The sequence below is a fragment of the Homo sapiens genome, chromosome 17 (genome assembly GCF_000001405.40).
Source record: "Homo sapiens chromosome 17, GRCh38.p14 Primary Assembly".
Lineage (NCBI taxonomy): Eukaryota > Metazoa > Chordata > Mammalia > Primates > Hominidae > Homo > Homo sapiens.
Genome location: NC_000017.11, coordinates 67,762,015 through 67,783,914, shown reverse-complemented (window position 1 = coordinate 67,783,914; position 21,900 = coordinate 67,762,015). Strand labels below are relative to the sequence as shown.

General features: G+C 47.9%; 1 pseudogene, besides 1 other annotated feature; it reads left to right on the top strand.

Annotated features, from left to right (window-relative positions):
- RPSAP67 (ribosomal protein SA pseudogene 67) lies at window positions 6,532–7,857 on the top strand (annotated as a pseudogene).
- Window positions 15,377–15,977: an enhancer, noted in NCBI's record as "H3K27ac-H3K4me1 hESC enhancer chr17:65764054-65764654 (GRCh37/hg19 assembly coordinates)". NCBI's record gives its function as "activates a minimal SCP1, AML or CMV promoter by ChIP-STARR-seq in naive H9 embryonic stem cells {active_cell/tissue: H9 hESC(naive)}" and the evidence as "EXISTENCE:reporter gene assay evidence [ECO:0000049][PMID:30033119]".

The window sequence follows — 21,900 nt, the reverse complement described above, 5'->3', positions numbered from 1 at the left end:
ATCCCAGCTACTTGGGAGGCCAAGGCAGGAGAATCACTTGAACCTGGGAGGCAGAGGTTGCAGCGAGCCGAGATCACGCCATTGCACTCCAGCCTGGGCAACAAGAGCGAATTTCCAACTCAAAAAAAAAAAATTAGCCAGGTATGGTGTCATGCATCTGTATCCCAGCTACTCAGGAGGCTGAGGCAGGAGAGTTGCTTGAACCCAGGAGGCAGAGGTTGTAGTCAGCTGAGATCACGCCACTGCACTCCAGCATGGGTGATAGAGCGAGACTCCGCCTCAAAAAAAAAAAAAAAAAAAAAGCCTCAGCTTCCCAAAGTGCTGGGGTTATAGGCATGAGTCACCATGCTCAGTCTAGTTTGTATTAATTCAGTTGACTCTTACAACCTGAAATCTTGCTAATCCCATGGCAAACTCAAGTTATTTTTAGCTTGATTTTCCAGAATATAAATATATTGACTGCCAAAAGTGATATATGTACTTTTTTCCTCCCAATTCTTACATATCTTACTTTTCCTTCATGGAGAGTTATCACAAGCATTTCAAATATAGTTAAGTACTAAATTAAAGTGAGTTAAGTGGGCTGGACATGGTGGCTCACGCCTGTAATCCCAGCACTTTGGGAGGCCAATGAGAATGGATCACTTAAGACCAGCTTGGCCAACATGGTGAAACCTGGTATCTACCAAAAATAATAAAAAAAATTAGCCGGGCATGGTGGGGTGTACCTGTAATCCCAGCTATCTGGAAGTCTGAGGCAGGAGAATTGCTCGAACCTAGGAGGTGGAGGTTGCAGTGAGCCGAGATCACGCCACTGCACTCCAGCCTGGATGACAGAGGGACAGTCACAGAAACAGATAAATAAGTAAAATAAAGTGAGTTAGATATGTGAAATTAATTAAACTACGTTAAATTGTGTTAGGGCATCTTGGTTGATACTCGACAAAATTATATATATATTTTTATATATATATATTTATAGATAGATAGATTTGGAAATCCAAAATTACAAATAAAAGCTAAGTGAAAAAATCTTGGCCGGGCATGATGGCTCATGCCTTTAATCCCAGCACTTTGGGAGGTCGAGGCAGGCGGATCACGAGGTCAGGAGATCAAGACCATCCTGGCCAACATGGTGAAACCCCGTCTCTACTAAAAATACAAAAATTAGCTGGGCATGGTGGAGCATGCCTGTAATCCCAGCTACTTGGGAAGCTGAGGCAGGAGAATTGCTTGAATCACAGAGCTGGAGGTTGCAGTGAGCTGAGATCGCGCCACTGCATTCCAGCCTGGAGACAGAGCAAGACTCTGTCTAAAAACAAAAAAAAGAAAGAAAAAAAAGAAAAGTAAAATCTTTTGTCCATACGACCTTTCCCTTTTTTTAAAGGCAAACAGTTTCTTGGACTTCCTTTCAGAAAAACAAATAATTATATGTGAGAGATGTATCTGTTCACAAGCTCTTAATTATACATCTTTATTTATTTACTTTGAGCCAAGGTCTCACTCTGTTGCCAAGGTTGGAGTGCAGAGGTGCAATGACAGCTCACTGGCAGCCTCAATCTCCCAGGCTCAGCCTATCCTTCAACTTCAGCCTTCCAAGTAGCTGGGACTATAGGTGTATACCACCACCATGCCCAGCTAATTTTCTGTATTTTTTTTGTAGAGATGGGGGGCGTCTCACTGTGTTGCCCAGGCTGGTCTCGAACTCCTGGCCTCAAGTGATCACCCTCTTCATCCTCCCCAAGTGCTAGGATTATGGGTGTAAGCCCCTGGGAAATAATGCATCCTAAGGGAAGACGGCTTCAGGCAGACAAATTTGGCACAATAATAAGCCCCAGGTGATGGAGTATAGGGGTGGTGCCTGTCCCTCTTACCAGTCTAGTTTCTTTTTCTTTTTTTTTTTTTTTGAGACGGAGTCTGGCTCTGTCGCCCAGGCTGGAGTGCAGTGGCGTGATCGCGACTCACTGCAAGCTCCGCCTACCGGGTTCACGCCGTTCTCCTGCCTCAGCCTCCCGAGTAGCTGGAACCACAGGCGCCCGCCGCCACGCCCGGCTAAGTTTTTGTATTTTTAGTAGAGATGGAGTTTCACCGTGTTAGCCAGGATGGTCTCGATTTCCGGACCTCGTGATCCACCGGCCTCAGCCTCCCAAAGTGCTGGGATTACAGGCGTGAGCCACCGCGCCCAGCCGTTTCATTTTCTTTTCTTTTTTTTTTGAGATGGAGTCTTGCTTTGTTACCCAGGCTGGAGTGCAGTAGCACGATCTCGGCTCACTGCAACCTCTGCCTCCCGGGTTCAAGTAATTATCCTGCCTCAGCCTCCTGAATAGCTGGGATTACAGGCGCTGGCCACCATGGCTGGCTAATTTTTGTATTTTTAGTAGAGACAGGGTTTCACCATGTTGGCAGGCTAGTCTCGAACTCCTGACCTGAAGTGATCCACCCACCTTGGCCTCCCAAAGTGCTGGGATTACAGGTGTGAGCCACCATGCCTGGCCTACTGGTCTAGTTTCTAACCCAGCCATCTGGAACACAATGTCCCTGGCCTGAGCTGTCTCAGTCCCTAGGCTAAATATGAATAAAATCTAGAAAGCTTTCTTCTTTTTACATATATAACGTTTTTTAGAGACAGGTCTCACTCTGTTGCCCAGGCTGCAGTATAGTGGTATGATCGGAGCTCACTGCAGCCTCCACCTTCTGGTGTCAAGTGATCCTCCTGCCTTAGCCCCCTAAATAGCTGGGACTACAGGCTTGCACCACCCCACCTCACTAATGTTTGAATTTTTTTATAGAAACAGGGTCTTGATATGTTGCCCAGGCTGGTCTCAAACTCCTGGCATAAGCAATCCTCCTGCCTTGGCCTCCCAAAGTGCTGGGATTATAGGCGTGAGCCACTGCATTTGACTAGAGCTGTTTTCAATTTGAACTTTATAAGATATAGGCCCAGAAGCAATGATTTTCCCTTTCACTTTGTCCATGTGGAAAAGGATGTTGGTAAAGTCGGGAGAGTGGCCTTGCTTCCTGCTTCTATGAGAACACACCAGGGAAGATAGCATGGCTTCAGCCCATTGAGTTTGCCTGAGAATGGAGTGCTGCTTTGGCCTTCTGTTCATCAACATGGGTAGTGCCCAGTGCCCTCTGCCATGTTGGCGATGCTATAGTACCTCATTATTCAGTCAAAACTAATCTAGGTGTTGCTAGAAGTTTGTTTTTTTTTTTTTTTTTTTTTTTTTTTTTTGAGACAGAGTCTCACTCTGTCGCCCAGGCTGGAGTACAGTGGTGTGATCACTGCAACCTCTGCCTCCTGGGTTCAAGTGATTCTCCTGCCTCAGTCTCCCGAGTAGCTGAGACTACAGGTGCATGCCACCACATCCAGCTAATTTTTTATTTTTAGTAGAGACGGTGTTTCACTATGTTGGCCAGGCTGGTCTCGAACTCCTGACCTCAGGTGATCCACCCACCTCCCAAAGTGCTGGGATTACAGGCGTGAGCCACTGTGTCTGGCCTAGAAGGTATTTTGTAGATGTGATTAGCATCTACTATCAATTGAGTTTAAGTAAAGGAAATTATCCTCAATAATCTGGGTGGAGGCAGGGCGAGGTGGGTCACACCTATAATCCCAGCACTTTGGGAGGCCAAGGCAGGAGGATCGCTTGAGCCCAGGAGTTTGAGACCAACTTGGGCAACATGGCACACTCCCATCTCTACCAAAAAAAAATACAAAAATTAGCCGGGTGTGGTGGTGTGTGCCTGTAGTCCCAGCTACTTGGGAGGCTGAGGTGGGAGAATCACTTGAGCCTGGGAGGCAGAGGTTGAAGTGAGCTGAGATGGCGCCACTGCACTCCAGCCTGGGTGACAGAGTGAGACCCTGTGCTACTCCCTTTCCCCCAAAAATAATAATCTGGATGGACCTCATTCAGCCAGTAGAAAAGTCTTCAGAACTGAGGTTTCCCTGACGAAGAAGAAATTTGTGAATTGTAGCATCAATTCTTTAAAATTTTTAAATGTAATTAAATAAATATAAATAAAGGCCAGGTGTGGTGGCTCACACCTATAATCCCAACACTTTGGGAGGCTGAGGCAGGCAGATTGCTTGAGCTCAGGAGTTCGAGACCAACCTGGGCAACATGACAAAACCCCATCTCTACAAAAAATACAAAGAATTAGCCAGCTATGGTGGCATGTGCCTGTGGTCCCAGCACTTGGGAGGCTGAGGCAGGATAATTGCTTGAACCGGGGAGGCAGAGGTTGCAGTGAGCTAAGATCACACCTCTGTACTCCAGCCTGGGCGACAGAATGAGAATCTGTCTGGAAAAAAGAAAAAAGCAAACAAAAAACACCAAGACATTTGAAGTCCAAAATCAGACTAGCAAATGCATCAAGAATATCTGTACGCAGAGTGAGCACATGGAGTCCTAGGGAAGGCAAATCAGAGGCCAGAACTCCAAGGTCAAATCCAGGTTAACCAGAACACTCTGGTTTAACTTGGCAGCAGCACAGATGGACGTCATCATGGTCTGGGACAGGACACCAGCAAGTCTCGACTGCATCACCTTCCCTGATGTTCCTGTGGGGTTGTCTCCCTGTATCTGGCCGAGTCCCTGGCCCTGGCCCTGACAAATGGGTTGTGATGAGGAGGATCAGGGGTTGGAGGCACCGCTCTAGCCCAGGGGGCCGCTCCCATTATTGCCGCCCCCATCACCCGGCCCCTCTCCACTAGGGCAGAGTGGAGTGCGCCGGCTCAGGCAGCAGGGGGCGCTAATGGCTCTTCCGGAGAGGGAAAGGTGGCAAAGTCACAGAAAAGCATTTATTTTATTTTATTTTTTTTGAGACGGAGTCTCGCTCTGTCGCCCAGGCTGGAGTGCAGTGGCGGGATCTCGGCTCACTGCAGGCTCCGCCTCCCGGGTTCACGCCATTCTCCTGCCTCAGCCTCCCAAGTAGCTGGGACTACAGGCGCCCGCCACTACGCCCGGCTAATTTTTTGTATTTTTAGTAGAGACGGGGTTTCACCGTTTTAGCTGGGATGGTCCCGATCTCCTGACCTCGTGATCTGCCCGCCTCGGTCTCCCAAAGTGCTGGGATTACAGGCGTGAGCCACCGCACCCGGCCCCCCCTTTTTTTTTTTTTTTTTAAGACAGAGTCTCACTCTGCTGCCCAGGCTGGAGTATAGTAGCGCCATCTTGGCTCACTGCAACCTCTGCCTCCTGGGTTCAAGCATTTCTCCTGCCTCAGCCTCCCAAGTAGCTGGGATTACAGGTGTGCCCCACCACACCCGGCTATTTTTGTATTTTGTTTTTTTTTGGAGACGGAGTTTTGCTCTTGTTGCCCAGGCTGGAGTGCAATGGTGCAATCTCGGCTCACCGCAACCTCTGCCTTCCGGGTTCAAGCGATTCTCCTGCCTCAGCCTCCTGGGTAGCTGGGATTACAGGCATGTGCCACTACGCTCAGCTAATTTTGTATTTTTAGTAGAGATGGGATTTCTCCATGTTGGTCAGGCTGGTCTCGAACTCCCGACCTCAGGTGATCCACCCGCTTCGGCCTTCCAAAGTGCTGGGATTACAGGCATGAGCCACCGCACCCGGCCACTTTTGTATTTTTAGTAGAGATGGGGTTTCGCCATGTTGGCCAGGCTGGTCTTGAACTCCAGACCTCAAGTGATCCACCTCCCTTGACCTCCCAAAGTGCTGGGATTATAGGCATGAGCCACTGCACCCAGCCTCAGCTAAGAATTTTGTTTCACAGTCTAATGCGTAAAGAATCCTAGCAAATAGGCCTTTAGTAAAGTGTTGTGGTTTCTTTATGGTTTTGAAAGCCAGTGTAACATTACAGCAAATTTAATTTTGGATGAAGAAAACATCTCATCCTAACCCAACCACCTTAGTACAATGGTTGCACAATCACTCTTTTTTTTTTTTTTTTTTTGAGATGGAGTTCCACCCTCATTGCCCAGGCTGGAGTGCAATGGTGCAATCTCAGCTCACTGCAATCTCCACCTCTCAGGTTCAAGTGATTCTCCTGCCTCAGCCTCCCGAGTAGCTGGGATTACAGGGGCCCACCACCACACCCAGCTAATTTTTGTATTTTTAGTAGAGATGGGTTTTCACCATGTTGGCCAGGCTGGTCTCGAACTCCTGACCTTAGGTGATCCTCCCGCCTCGGCCTCCCAAAGTGCTGGGATTACAGGCATGAGGCACCATGCCCAGTCTCTTATTATTTCCTTATTTAGATATTGAACATCTACTATGTACCAGTCACTGAATATACATCACTGTGCACAGTGTTTTTTTGTTTTTGGTTTTTTTTTTTTTGGTAGAGATGGGGTCTCACTATTTTGCCCAGGCTGGTCTTGAACTCCTGGTTTTAAGTGATCCTCCTGCCTCAGCCTCCCAAAGTGCTGGGATTTCAGGCCTGAGCCACCACACCCAGCCCTGCACAATGTTCTTAGTTAAAATATTTGTCTATTATATGCTCTTCTTGAAAGAGCAGACTCACAACTGACTCATAAACATTTTTTCAGCTTTCTACACTATTTAGAGAGGGGTCCCTACAGCATTGTCCTGAGTTCTTTTGTCACATAAAGGGAAATTTTTACAATGTCTGGTACTCTTGATATCCTGCAAATGAAGAAGAAAGATATTGTCAAATTCCTTGTGGAAGAAACCCACTTAGGTGGCACCAATCTTGACTTCCAAATGGAACAGGACATCTCCAAAAGGAAAAGTGATGGCATCTACCTTATAAATCTGAAGGGGGCTGGGCGAGGTGGCTGACGCCTGTAATCCCAGCACTTTGGGAGGCTGAGGCAGGAGTATAGCTTGAGCCCAGGAGTTTGAGACCAACCTGGGTGACATGGCAAGACTCCATCTCTACAAAAAACGATTTTTAAATCAGCCAGCCATGGTGGCACTCATCCATCCTAGCTACTTGGGAGTCTGAGGTGGGAGAATCACTTGAGCTCAGGAGTTTGAGGTTGCAGAGAGCTATGTTTGCACCACTGTACTCCTGCCTGGGTGACAGAGAAAGACTATCTCAAAACAACAAAAGAAAAACAAAACAACAAATAAAAACAACTGGAGATGACCTGAGAGAAGCTTGTGCCGGCCACTCATGCCACTGTGGCCTTCGAAAACCCAGCTGTTTCCCGTGTCATACCCTCCAGGAATACTAGCCAGCGGGCTGTGCTGAAGTTTGCTGCTGCCACTGAAGCCGCTCTCACTGCTGGCCACTTCACTCTTGGAACCTTCACTAACCAGATCCAGACAGCCTTCTGGGAGCCACGTCTTCTTTTTTTTTTTTTTTTGAGATGGAGTCTCGCTCGGTTGCCCAGGCTGGAGTGCAGGGGCGCGATCTCGGCTCACTGCAAGCTCCACCTCCCGGGTTCACGCCATTCTCCTGCCTCAGCCTCCCGAGTAGGTGGGACTACAGGCACCCGCCACCACACCTGGCTAATTTTTTGTATTTTTAGTAGAGACGGGGTTTCACCATGTTAGCCAGGTTGGTCTCGATCTCCTGACCTCGTGATCCACCCATCTCGGCCTCCCAAAGTGCTGGGATTACAGGCGTGAGCCACCGCGCCCGGCCTGGGAGCCACGTCTTCTGATGGTTACTGATCCTGGGGCTGACCACCAGCCTGTCACAGAAGTGTTTCATGGTAACCGGCCTACCATGGCTCTTGGTCACAAAGATTCTCCTTGACACTGCGTGGACACTGCCATCCCAAGCAACGAGAAAGGAGCTCCTGAGTGGGTCTGCTGTGGTGGGTGCTGGCAGGGAAGTTCTGTACATGTGTAACACCATCTCCTGTGATCACCATAGGATCTCATGCCTGAGCTCTACTTCTGCAGAGATTCTAAAGATATTATAGGCTGGGCACAGTGGCTCACGCCTGTAATCCCAACACTTTGGGAGGTCAAGGCGGGTGGATCACTTGAGGTCAGGAGTTCGAGACTAGCCTGGCTAACATGGCAAAACCCCATCTCTACCAAAAATACAAAAATTAGCCAGGTGTGGTGGCATGCACTTGTAGTCCCAGCTACTAGGGAGGCTGAGGTGGGAGAATCCCTTGAAAACAGGAGGCAGAGGTTGCAGTGAGCCGAGATGGTGACGCTACCCTCCAGCCTGGGTGACAGAGCAAGACTTGGTCTTCAAAAAAAAAAAAGATATTTTAAACCAAAAATAAAATTCTAAGGCCTCCCAACCATCTGAATGGACCCGTCCTCTTGGCCATGGGCATTCCAGAGTTACCTGAAAATCCAGTTCAGGTCATGATGGAAGAGGGGGGTTGGACATGGCTCCTTATACCCTTCCAGCATTAACACCAACACAGACCTTAAGTCTCATAAGAAATATCTGTATTCTGTCTAAAGCCTGCTACTTGGAGGCTTCATCTGTATGAAATAACCTAGGTGTCCAGGGGTCCACAACCTCTTATTCTAACCCAGACATTCCTTTCTACTGATAATAACTTTCAACCAATTGCCAATCAGAACATTTTTAAGTCTACTTATTACCTGAAAGCACCCCTCACCCTTTGAGTTGTCCCACCCTTTGCGTTGTCCTACCCTTCCAGATCAAACCAGTGTAAATCTTACATGTATTGATTGATGTCTCATGTCTCCCTAAAATTTATAAAAGCAAGCTGTACCCCGACCACCTACATGTCATCAGGACCTCCTGAGGCTATGTCACAGCATGTTCTTAACTTTGGCAAAATAAACTTTCTAGGCCAGGCACGGTGGCTCACGCCTGTAATGCTAGCGCTTTGGGAGGCCGAGGTGGGCAGATCACCTGAGGTCAGGAGTTCAAGACCAGCCTGGCCAAAATGGTGAAACTCTGTCTCTACTAAAAATACAAAAATTAGCCAGGCGTTTTGGTGGGCGCCTGTAATCCCAGCTACTCAGGAGGCTGAGGCAGGAGAATTGCTGGAAACCTGGAGGCAGAGTCTACAGTGAGACAAGATTGCACCACTGCACTCCAGCCTGAGCAACAGAGTGAGACTGTCTCAAAAAAAAAAAAAAAAACAAAAACAAACAAACTTTCTAAGTTGACTGAGACCTGTCTCAGATATTTTGGGTTGACAATACTGAAAAAGAACAGGTCACTGCTGAAAGGCAGTGACCAAGAAGGACCTTAAGAGCAAATGAACTGCCATCCGAGGTTGCAGACTTGTCTGAAGGTGTGCAGGTGCTCTCTGTCCCTGTTAAGTAGGTCCCTACTGAAGAACACAGCACTCAGACTGCCACTGAAGATGGGTCTAGACCAGGTGCAGCGGCTCATGCCTGTAATCCTACTATTTTGGGAGGTCGAGGTGAACAGGTCGCTTGAACCCAGGAGTTCAAAACCAGCCTGAGCAACCTGGCAAAACCCCATCTCTACAAAAAACACAAAAATTAGCCGGGTGTGGTGGTGCCAGCCTGTGGTCCCAGCTACTTGGGGGGCTGAGGTGGGAGGATCACTTGCGCCCAGGAGGTCAAGGCTGCAGTGAGGCATAATTTCACTACTGCACTCCAGCCTGGGTGACAGAGCGAGACCCTGTCTCAAAAAAAAGAAGAAAAAAAAAGACCAAAATGGTGAAACCCCATCTCTACTAAAAATACAAAAATTAGGCCAGGCGCGGTGGCTCACGCCTGTAATCCCAGCACTTTGGGAGGCAGAGGCGGGCGGATCACGAGGTCAGGAGATCGAGACCATCCTGGCTAACACAGTGAAACGCTGTCTCTACTAAAAATACAAAAAATTAGCCGGGCGTGGTGGCGGGAGCCTGTAGGTAGTCCCAGCTACTCGGGAGGCTGAGGCAGGAGAATGGCGTGAACCCAGGAGGCAGAGCTTGCAGTGAGCCGAGATTGTGCCACTGCACTTCAGCCTGGGCGACAGAGCGAGACTCCATCTCAAAAAATATATATGCATATATATAAAAATTAGCTGGACATGGTGGTGCACGCTTGTAGTCCCTGCTACTTGGGAGGCTGAGGCAGGAGAATCACTTGAACCCAGTAGACAGAGGTTACAGTGAGCCAAGATTGTACCACTGCACTTCAGCCTGGGCGACAGAGTGAGATTCCGTCTCAAAAAAAAAAAAAGTGCTCTTAAGCTGTTCTTCCACAGGCTTTTAAACAGGAAATGGAAATAAGGTTGAGGGAAAATAAACATCAGTTTAAAAAAACAAAGCATTATTTCTGTTTTTACAGTCTCCATGATTATAATTTTAAAAGTGTAACACATTATAGAAATTTTGGGAAATCACTGTAAAAAGATCCTGTCCCACAACCTGACAATCCCTGGTCCTTTTCCTACGTTTCTCTCTACGCGTTTTGTACAAAAGAGCCATCATCTGTCCTTCTTCCCTGACATTATGTCATAAGCACTTTCCCATGTTGTTACCTACTCATCTTGCAAAATTGTCTTTGCTTATAGATATTTTCAGCCTTACTAGCATTTTCCAGGTTTTCCCAGCAGCAGACTTCTCAAGCATTGCTGGAAAGGTGCCGAAATGATTATGTGAATTGGGATTTGTTCTCAATAGTTCCCTTGTGTCCGGAACTGTCTGGTTTCGCAGGATCCCTGCCTGCAAGACTCAGTCCTGCTCATGTGTGAACAAGGGTCCCCTCCATGAGCCCCTTTCAAAAACGATGGTAGGATTGAGCCCCACTTTGCCAGTTTCTTCTTCCCTCAGCACCTCCCAGCTCACCCTCCCTCCTCGTTTCTGATACCCATTTCCATTGGTATTGAAGTTAGCAGTCCTGGATTCAAAACCAAGCTCAGCCACGCAGCAGAGTGACTACAAGCAAATCACTTAATATCTCTGCACCTCTTGGTTTCCCCTTTTCACAGGGCCGTCGTCAATACTGAGGTCGGGAACGGCGGTTCACGCCTGTAATCCCAGAACTTTAGGAGGCTGAGGCAAGAGGACTGCTTGAGCTCCAGAGTTTGAGACCAGCCTGGGCAACATTGTGAGATCCCATCTCTATTAAAAATCAAAACAATTAGTTGGATGTGGTGCTGCACGCCTGTAGTCTCCACTACTCAGGTGGGTTGAGGCAGAAGAAACACTTGAGCCCAGTAGATTGAGGCTGCAGTGAGCCTTGATCGCTCCACTACACTCCAGCCTGGGCAACAGAGCAAGACCCTGTCTCAAAAAAATTTCCTTAAAGACATGTGATTATGCGTGGAAAGTGTGGAACATAGTACAGAAATAGTGGTTGTTGCCTGTTTTTTTGTTTTTTTGTTTTTTGAGAAAGGGTCTCACTCTGTTGCCCAGGCAGAATCTTGGCTCACTGCAACTTCCACCTCCCAGGTTCAAGCAGTTCTTCCTCAGCCTCCCTGTAGCTGGGACTACAGGCGTGCACCACCACGCCCAGCTAATTTTTTGTATTTTTAACAGAACAGGGTTTCACCATGTTGGCCAGGCTGGTCTCGAAATCCTGACCTCAGGTGATCTATCTGCCTTGATCTCCCAAAGTGCTGGGATTACAGGAGTGAGCCACCTCACCCGGCCGGTTACCTATTCTGAGCAGTCCTTCTGTGCCTGGCGTTTGATCTCTGCCAAGTCCTTCCACCTGGATCCTCAGCTGTAGATTCACAACCCTGTGCTCGAGGTTGGCTCTCATGAACCATTTCCTCTGGGCCTAAGATTCTGCCACTCTTGTTACCTAGACCTTGTAGACCTGACCTCTGCTTTTTCAAGGCTTGTCCCTTTTTTTGTTTTTTGTTTTTTGTATTTTTTTTGAGACACAGTCTCACTCTTGTCGCCCAGGCTGGAATGCAATGGCACGATCTTGGCTCACTGCAACCTCTGCCTCCTGGGTTCAAGCCATTCTCCTGCCCCAGCCTCCCTAGTAGCTGGGATTACAGGCGCATGCCACCACAATGCCTGGCTAATTTTTGTATTTTTAGTAGAGATGAGGGTGTCACCATGTTGGCCAGGCTGGTCTTGAACTCCTGACTTCAGGGGATCCACTTGCCTCGGCCTCCCAAAGTGCTAGGATTACAGGCGTGAGCCACCACGCCCAGTTCCTTTGTTTCTACTAGAAATGGCCCTGCTCTTTCTGGCCGGGGCAATCTCCCCATGCTCCAAAATTGAATGGCCCCATTATACCTTTGCTACCCAACTCCTTCCCCTGTTTGCTTTGGATCTCCTGACACACGCTCCCATCCGTACACCAAAGCACTGTGACCTGTTGGCTTCCTCTAATTGGTACCAGACTCCTTATGTACCTGGCAGACTTGTCATGTTGGCTACACACAGCAGTGTCTTCTCCACACATGCTTTGCTATGTTAAGAAAGTAATCTGATTAAATGAATCAGTAAGCCATATAAAAACAAAACATTATAAAAAAGGATGAGTTCATGTCCTTTACAGGGACATGGATGAAGCTGGAAACCATCATTCTCAGCAAACTATCACAAGGACAGAAAACCAGACACCGCATGTTCTCACTCACAGATGGGAATTGAACAATGAGAACACTTGGACACAGGGCGGGGAACATCACACACCAGGGCCTGTCGTGGGGTGGGGGGCTGGGGGAGGGATAGCATTAGGAGAAATACCTAATGTAAATGAATTGATGGGTGCAGCAAACCAACATGGCACATGTATATCTATGTAACAAACCTGCACGTTGTGCACATTTCCCTAGAACTTAAAGTATAATAAAAATAATTTAAAAAATCGATGTATACTTATGGCAATTAACACCACATAGAAAACAACTGCTAGCAAGTCATCTCCTTTGATTATCACAACAGTCCCCTGAGCTACATAAGAATGGTTTAGTTAGCCTTATTTTGAAGATGGTGAAGTGGGCTGGGCGCGGTGGCTCACGCTTGTTATCTCAGCACTTTGGGAGGCCGAGGCAGGTGGATCTCTTGAGTTCAGGAGTTTGAGGCCAGCCCGGCCAACATAGCAAAACCCTGTCTCTACTAAAAACACAAAAAATTACCTGGGAGTGGAGGCGCATGCATGTAATTTCAGCTACTTGAACCTGGGAGGCAGAGGTTGCAGTGAGCCGAGATCGCACCACTGTACTCCAGCCTGGGTGACAGAACAAGACTCTATCTCAAAAAAAAAAAAAAAAAAAAAGAAGATGGTGAAATGAACTGTCCAAGTTTGTTGACTAAGTGGTGGTGCTAAAATGAGTATCTTGTGACTTCTAATTTAATACTTTTCCCAGTCTTAGACTCTGCTTCCAGAAATGACTAATAGCCCCTTCACTCTCCCTATGGTGTGTGCAGTTTAGAAGACGTTTATTAATGAAGCCAAATGAGTTTGAGTCTTTTCTTTCTGTCCATAAGAAAAAAAAAAGAAGAACTTGGAGAATAAAGTAATGGAACATGGAAGAGGCTTTTCTCTGGCCATGTTGAACACTGCAGAAGCAAGCTGCCTTGACCACTTCAGTTTAAAAAGGAGGAAGAGGACCAGGTGAGGTGGCTCATGCCTGTAACCCCAGCACTTTAGAAGAAGCACTGAGGCAGGTGGATCACTTGTGGCCAGGAGCTCACCAGCCTGGCCATCATGGTGACACCTCATCTCTACTAAAAGTACAAAAATTAGCTGGGTGTGGTGATGTGCGCCTATAGTCCCAGCTACTTGTGAGGCTGAAGCAGGAGAACTGCTTGAACCCAGGAGGCAGAGGTTGCAGTGAGCTGAGATTTCACCACTGCACTCCAGCCTGAGTGACACAGTAAGACTCGATGTATCAAAAAATAAATAACTACATAAAAATAAAAAGGAGGAGGCCGGGTGCGGTGGCTCATGCCTGTAATCCCGGCACTTTGGGAGGCCGAGGCGGGTGGATCACGAGCTTAGGAGTTCAAGATCAGCCTGGCCATGATGGTGAAACCCATCTCTACTAAAAATACAAAAAATTAGCCGGGCATGGTGGTGGGCACCTGTAATCCCAGCTACTCGGGAGGCTGAGGCAGGAGAATCGCGTGAACCTGGGAGGCAGAGGTTGCAGTGAGCCGAGATCACACCATTGCACTCCAGCCTGGGCAACAGGAGTGAAACTGTCTCAAAAAAAAAAAGGAAAGAAAAAAGAAAAAAAAGAAAAGGGGAGAAAACATTTGGTTAAGAGTAGGGTCCCCACACTTACACACTGGCAGCACTCCAGGGAAATGGCTGGTGCTCAGTGGGGAGTGGCCAAGTGGAATACTGAGGGAGACTAGATTCTTGGCTCTGGGGTACTCAAGGTGGGTACCACCCTCACCTTGGCAAAAATTCCTGGATCCCAGGCATTGCACAGAAACAGAGATCTGCCAGACTACAAGAAACCTCAGGGGCTTAGTCAAAGACCATGATGGACTGTCCTTCTCCTACGTCCTTGGCACCATTTAAGCCTCTTAGTGGCTATAGAAGGTGAGTGTATTAGTCTGTTCTCACATTGCTGTAAAGAAATACCGGAGACTGGGTCATTTATAAAAAGAGGTTTCATTGGCTCACACTTCGTCAGGCTGTACAGGAAGCATAACGGCATCTGCTTCTGGGGAGGCCTCAGGAAACTTCCAATGATGGCAGAAGCAGAAGTGGGGGGAGCAGACAGGTCACATGGCCAGAGCAGGAGCAGTAGGCAGGGGCAGAGGGGCTACACACTTTTAAATGACCAGATCCCATGAGAACTCACTCACTATTGCGAGAATAGTACTAAGATGCTGCTGCTAAACCATTCATGAGAAATCCACCCCCATGATCCAATCACCTCCCACCAGGCCCCACCTCTGACACTGGGGATTACATTTCAACATGAGATTTGGGCAGGACATCGGAACCATATCAACGAGGGAAACCCAAATATGACTGAGACTGGATTTCCTATTGGTCTGGTGAAATAAAGGCTTGAAGTAGGATTTAAGTTGATTTGATTTAAAGAACATAATTAGGATGTTTCTTGAAACCCTGAGGTTGTGGATGCAATAGCTCCCTTTCCTCATTCATTCTTTCAAGAATTTGGCTAATTTTGGCCGGGCACAGTGGCTCACACCTGTAATCCCAGCACTTTGGGAGGCCGAGGCGGGCAGATCACTTGCGGCCAGGAGTTCGAGACCAGCCTGACCAACACGGCAAAACCTTGTCTCTGCTAAAAATACAAAAACTAGCTGGGTGTAGTGACATGCCCCTGTAATTCCAGCTACGCAGAAGACTGAGGCACAAGAATTGCTTGAACCTGGGAGGCACAGGTTGCAGTGAGCTGAGATCGTACCACTGCACTCCAGCCTGAGCAATAGAACGAGACTCTGTCTCAAAAAACAAACACGGCTGGACGCGGTGGCTCACGCCTGTAATCCCAGCACTTTGGGAGGCTGAGGCGGGCGGATCATGAGGTCAGGAGATCAAGACCATCCTGGCTAACACAGTGAAACCCCGTCTCTGCTAAAAATACAAAAATTAGCCGGCCGTGGTGGTGCACACCTATAATCCCAGCTATTCAGGAGGCCGAGGCAGGAGAATGGCGTGAACCTGGGAGGCGGAGCTTGCAGTGAGCAGAGATCGCGCCGCGCCACTGCACTCCAGCCTGGGCGACAGCGCAAGACACCATCTCAAAAAACAAACAAACAAAAAGGCTGGGCACAGTGGCTCACGCCTGTAATCCCAGCACTTTGGGAGGCCAAGGTGGGCGGATCACCGGAAGTCAGGAGTTCGAGACCAGCCTGGCCAACATGGAGAAACGCTGTCTCTACTAAAAAATACAAAATTAGCCGGCGTGGTGGCACATGCCTGTAATCCCAGCTACTCAGGAGGCTGAGGCAGGAGAATCGCTTGAACACAGGAGGTGGAGGTTGCGGTGAGCTGAGATCACACCACTGCACTCTAGCCTGGGCAACAAGAGCAAAACTTGAAAAAAGACTAATATTTATTGAGTACTTAGCATTGTGCTAGGTACTGGAAATGCTTTTTTTTGTACTGACATTGTCCCTGCCTGATGAAGCAAGTAAATTATGACAAATAGAAATTCATAGTAAAAAGGAATTGAAGAGGTTGAAGTGATAAAAGATAAGGTATGGGAAGGGCGTGGTGGCTCATGCTTGTAATCCCAGCACTTTGGGAGGCTGAGGCGGTCGGATCACGAGGTCAGGAGTTTGACACCAGCCTGGCCAACATGGTGAAACCCCATCTCTACTAAAAATACAAAAATTAGCTGGCTGTGGTGGTGCACGCCTGTAATCACAGCTATTCAGGAGGCTGAGGCAGGAGAATTACTTGAACCCGGGAGACGGAGGTTGCAGTGAGCCGAGATCACGCCACTGCACGCCAGCCTGGGCGACAGAGCGAGACTCCATCTAAAAAAAAAAAAAAAGCAAAAGGCATGGAGAGGAGAGGGTAAACCACCTACTCTGCTAAGATACAGTGGGTCAGGGCTGGGCATGGTAGCTCACACCTGTAATGCCAGCACTTTCGGAGGCCAAGAAGGGCAGATCATCTGAGGTCAGGAGTTTGAGACCAGCCAGGCCAATAGGTGAAACTCTGTCTCTACTAAAAAAAAATACAAAAATTAGCCGGGTGTGGTGTCAGGTGCTTGTAATCCCAGGTACTCAGGAGGCTGAGGCAGGAGAATCACTTGAACCCAGGGGACAGAGGTTGCAGAGAGCCAAGATCACGCCACTGCACTCCAGCCTGGGCGACAGAGCAAGACTCTATCTCAAAAAAAAAAAAAAAAAAAAAAAGGCCAGGCATGGTGGCTCACGCCTATAATCCAAGCACTTTGGGAGGCCGAGGTGGGCGGATCACTTGAGGTCAGAAGTTCAAGACCAGCCTGGCCAACCCAGCAAAACCTTGTCTCTACTAAAAATACAGAAATTAGCCAAGCGTTGGTGGCACATGCTTGTAATCCCAGTTACTTGGGAGACTGAGGCAGGAGAATCACTTGAACCCGGGAGGCAGAAGTTGCAGTGAGCTGAGATCACACCACTGCACTCCAGCCTTGGAGATACAGTGTGACTGTGTCTCAAAAAAAAGAAAAAAAAAAGTGGTCAGGGCAAGCTTCTCTGAGGAGGTGACATTCAAGTTGAGTCCTCAGAGATAAGCAGTCAGCCATGCTGTGGCTGAGGGGATTGCATGTGCAAAGGACCTGTGGTAGGAAAAAGCTCGACATAGTCACAGGACTGAAGGAAGACCTGTATGCCTGGAGCACTGTGGGGTTATGAAAGGAGGGAGGCAGGGAGCTGGAGAAGCAGCAAAGAAGTGGATCATCCAGTCTTACAGGTCACCTATGTTATCGTCAGTGCACTCTGATTTGAGCTTTTAAAAAGCTGGTGATGGCCGGGCATGGTGGCTCATGCCTGTAGCACTTCTCCAGCACTCTGGGAGGCCGACGCAGGCAGATCATTTGAGCTTAGGAGTTCGAGACCAGCCTGGCCAACATGGAGAAACCCTGTCTCTACTAAAAATAGAAAAATCAGCCGGGCGTGGTAATGGGCACCTGTAATCTCAGCTACCCCGGAGGCTGAGGCAGAAGAATTGCTTGAACCTGGGACGTGGAGGTTGCAGTGAGCTGAGATCGTACCACTGCACTCCAGCCTGGGCGACAGAGCAAGGCTCCATTTCAAAATAAATAAATAAATAAAAAGTTGGTGGTATAGGCCGGGCACAGTGGCTCACATCTGTAATCCCAGCACTTTGGGAGGTGGAGGCGAGAGGGTCATTTGAGCTCAGGAGTTCAAGACCAGTCTGGGCAACATATGGAGACCCTGTCTCTGAAAAAAATCCGAAAGTTAGTCTGGCATTGTGGGTTTTGCCTGTGGTCCCTGTTACTTGGGAGGCTGAGGGGAAAGGATCACTTGAGCTTGGGAGGTTGAGGCTGCAGTAAGCTGAGATTGTGCCACTGCACTCTAGCCCAGGCAACAGAGCAAGACCTCCCCACTCAAAAACAACAACAACAAAAACTGGTGGCTCATGCACTGGGGGAAGAAAGGATGGCTCCAGGGAGGCAGTAAGGATGCTGTGGGAGATTCTGTAGGATGGCTCACCCAACCTCTTCTCCTTTGCCTTCCCTTGCTATACTGGCTGGAGAGCAAAACCCCACATTCCCAGGCTCCCTTGCAGCTGGGGATGGCCATGTCATGTGACACAGCTTTGGCCAATGAGATGCAGGCACAGGTCTCTGGGGGAGGGTTTCCCTTCCCGAATGAAGGAACAAAGACCAAGTGAGAAGGCTTTTGCCCTTGACCTTTGGCCTTTTCTTTTCTTCTTGTTTGGGTTACAGATGTGATCCCTGGAGGTGAGTGGCTATCTTGTGAAGCATTGCAGATGATGGGGCAGGAAGACGGAACTATCCTGGGGTGCCTCTTTCCATGGTCATTGTCACATGAGTAAGGTAATGCTTTGCTTCTTTCATCTGCTGTAATCGGGTTTTTTGATACTTAAAGCTGATTCTGATACGGATACTTTTGCAGTTGTCTAGAAGAGGTCACGTTGGCTTGGATTAAGGTGGTGACGAGGGCTGTATTAGTCCATTTTCATGCTGCTAGTAAAGACATACCCAAGACTGGGTAATTTATGAAGAAAAAGAGGTTTAATGGGCTCACAGTTCCACGTAGCTGGGGAGGCCTCACAATCATCAGGGCGAAGGAAGAACCAAGGTGCGTCTTACATGGCACCAGACGAAGACAGTGAAAGGGGTTTCCACTTATAAAACCATGAGATCTCATGAGACTTTTTCACTACCACGAGAACAGTATGGGGGAAACCGCCCCCATGATTCAACTATCTCCCATTGGGTCCCTCCCATAACACGTGAAAATTATAGGAGCTACAATTCAAGATGAGATTTGGGTGGAGACACAGCCAAACCATATCAAGGGGGATGGATGGAGAAGAGCAGATGGATTGGAGGTTGTGGAGGACAGCCGCCTGGCCTTGCTGGTGATGAGGACAACAGGACCAAAGGAACGTTTGAGCCATTTATTCAAATCATGCTGCTAGCTAATGGCAAAGGTGAAACTCCAACTTGGCTCTGCATGCCTTACTTGTACACCAGGCATCCCATAAATGTTTGCTACTGATGGTGACCCTCACAGGGCTCAGGGCTTTTCTCCAATGCCTGCCTCATTCCTCTTGGGCTTCCCTAACCTTGGGTTGCCACTGGGAGCTGCCGTGGGTTTAGGAAAGCTGAGATGGCAGTGTGGCCAGCCTGTCCTCCAGCATTAGCTAAACACTGTCCAAATGTGTGAAGACAGGGGCTTCTCAGCAAACTATCTTGGGAATGATGACATTCCCAAGGCCCTTTTTTCTGCAGGTTTCCTCAGATGTACCCACTTGTCCTTCCAAAGCCCAGAGTTTATTAAGCCCATCAGGCCCACCTGGACCCTGGGCCACGTCTCCCAGTCAGTCTTTGTGAAGATCAGGTTAAAACTCTTTGGCTGACTTATCAATAAAATAAAGACACAGATTCAGGAGATTTTCTTCTGCTTCATAGAACAAGTGATTCCCTGGCCGGGTGCGGTGCCTCACACCTGTAATCCCAGCACTTTGAGAGGCCGAGGCAGGTGGATCACTTCAGGCTAGGAGATCAAGACCAGCCTGGCCAATATGGCGAAACCCTGTCTCTACTAAAAATACAAAAATTTAGCCGGGTGTGGTGGCACACATTCTGTAATTCCAGCTACTCAGGAGGCTGAGGAAAGAGAATTGCTTGAACCTGGGAGGCAGAAGTTGAAGTGAGCTGAGATTGCACAACTGCACTCCAGCCTGGGCAACAGAGTGAGACTCCATTTCAAAAATAATTAATTAATTAATTAATTAAGGGAAGGGAAATGATAAATTATCCGAAGGGAACATTTCCTCATTTTCTTTTGTTTCCCGTGTTAAGAGAATAGTTTTTGTTGTAAATTGCGCTGCTTCCTTACACCTTTTTTTAAAAAAACAAAACATAGAGAATAGTTGTTCTCTTAATTACAATAGGAAATAACTATTGTGTCTAACATTTAGGGAACAGAAAACACAAAGAAAATCACCCATAAGGCCGGGCACAGTGGCTCACACCTGTAATCCTAGCACTTTGGGAGGCCGAGGTGGGCAGATCACGAAGTCAGAAGTTCGAGACCAGCCTGGCCAACATAGTGAACCCTCATCTCTACTAAAAATACAAAAAATTAGCCGGGCATGGTGGTGGCGCCTGTAATCCCAGCTACTCGGGAGGCTGAGGCAGGAGAATGGCTTGAACCCAGGAGGCGGAGGTTGCAGTGAGCCAAGATCACGCCATTGCACTCCAGCCTGGGCGACAGAGTGAGACTCCGTCTCAAAAAAAAAAAAAAAAGAAGAAGAAGAAAATCACCCATAATGCTACCTATCAAAATAATCAGGATGTAAAGTATTTTTCCATGTATAAATAGTATCATTAGTAAATAGTATCAGAATCCATAAACTGTTTTAAAGCCTGTTTATTTCCATTAAATATATGATGTATATTTTCCCATGCTAATAAATAACCTTACAACATAAGTTTTAAAGATTGCATATAATTTCTTCATATAAATTACTGAATTACTCCCCTATTATTGGCTATTTAGCTTACACTTTTTGCTACTATAAGGAACACCATGATGGACACCCTTGTCACATGTATCTTTGTACAGATCTCTGATAAATTCCTTGAAATGCAATTGTTGGATTAAAGCATATATGCACTGTAAGGTTTTTTTTTTTTTTTAGATGGAGTCTTGGTCTTTTACCGAGGCTGGAGTGCAGTGGCATGATCTTTGCCCACTGCAACCCCCGGCTCCCAAGTTCAAGTGATTCTCCTGCTTAGCCTTCTGAGTAGCTGGGACTACAGGCACACACATGCCACCACACCTGGCTAATTTTTTTTTTTTTTTTTTGAGATGGAGTCTCGCTCTATCACCCAGGCTGGAGTGCAATGGCGCGATCTTGGCTCACTGCAACCTCTGCTTCCCGTGTTCAAGCGGTTCTCCTGTCTCAGCCTTCTGAGTAACTGGGACTACAGGTGCGCGCCACCATGCTCAGCTAATTTTGTATTTTTAGTAGAGAGGGGGTTTCACCATGTTGGTCAGGCTGGTCTCAAACTCCTGACCTTGGGTGATCCACCCACCTTGGCATCCTAAAGTGCTGGGATTACAGGCATGAGCTACTGCGCCTGGCTGCACTGTAAGGTTTTTGAAGCATATTGATAAGTCATCCTCCAGAAAGACTATATAACAACAGTGTATGAAAATGCCAACACTAAGTTGCATGTGACCTCCCTGAAGAAATCTGTCTCTCATACTCTGGGAATTTTGTTAAAAATGCACATTCTGGCTGTGCGAGTTGGCTCACACCCATAATCCCAGTGCTTTGGGAAGTGGAGGCAGGAGGATCACTTGAGGCCAGGAGTTTGAGACCAGCCTGGGCAACATTTGGAGAACGTGTCTCTACAAAATGTAGAAAAAAGCCAGGCATGGTGGCACAGGGGAGGCTAAGAAGGGTGGAGGCCGAGGCAGGAGGATCCCTTGAGCCAAGGAGTTCAAGGTTACCGTGAGCTGTGATCACACCACTACACTCTAGCCTAGGTGACAGAGCAAAATACGTCTCTCTCTCTTTTGTTTCTCTGTGAAGATTCCAGAAGTAAGATACTGTCTCATTGAAACAGTTATTTAAAAAAAAAAAAAAGATGGCTGGGTGCCGTGGCTAACACCTGTAATCATAGCACTTTGGGAGGCCGAGGCAGGCGGATCACCTGAGGTCAGAAGTTGGAGACCAACCTGGTCAACATGGCAAAATCCCGTTTCTACTAAAAATACAAAAATTAGCCAGGCATCGTGGCACGCACCTGTAATCCCCGCTACTCAGGAGGCTGAGGCAGGCGAATCACTTGAACCCGGGAGGCAGAGGTTGCAGTGAGCCAAGATCACGCCACTGCACTCCAGCCTGGACTATGGAGTGAGACTCTGGGGGCGGGGGGTAAAAAAGCAAA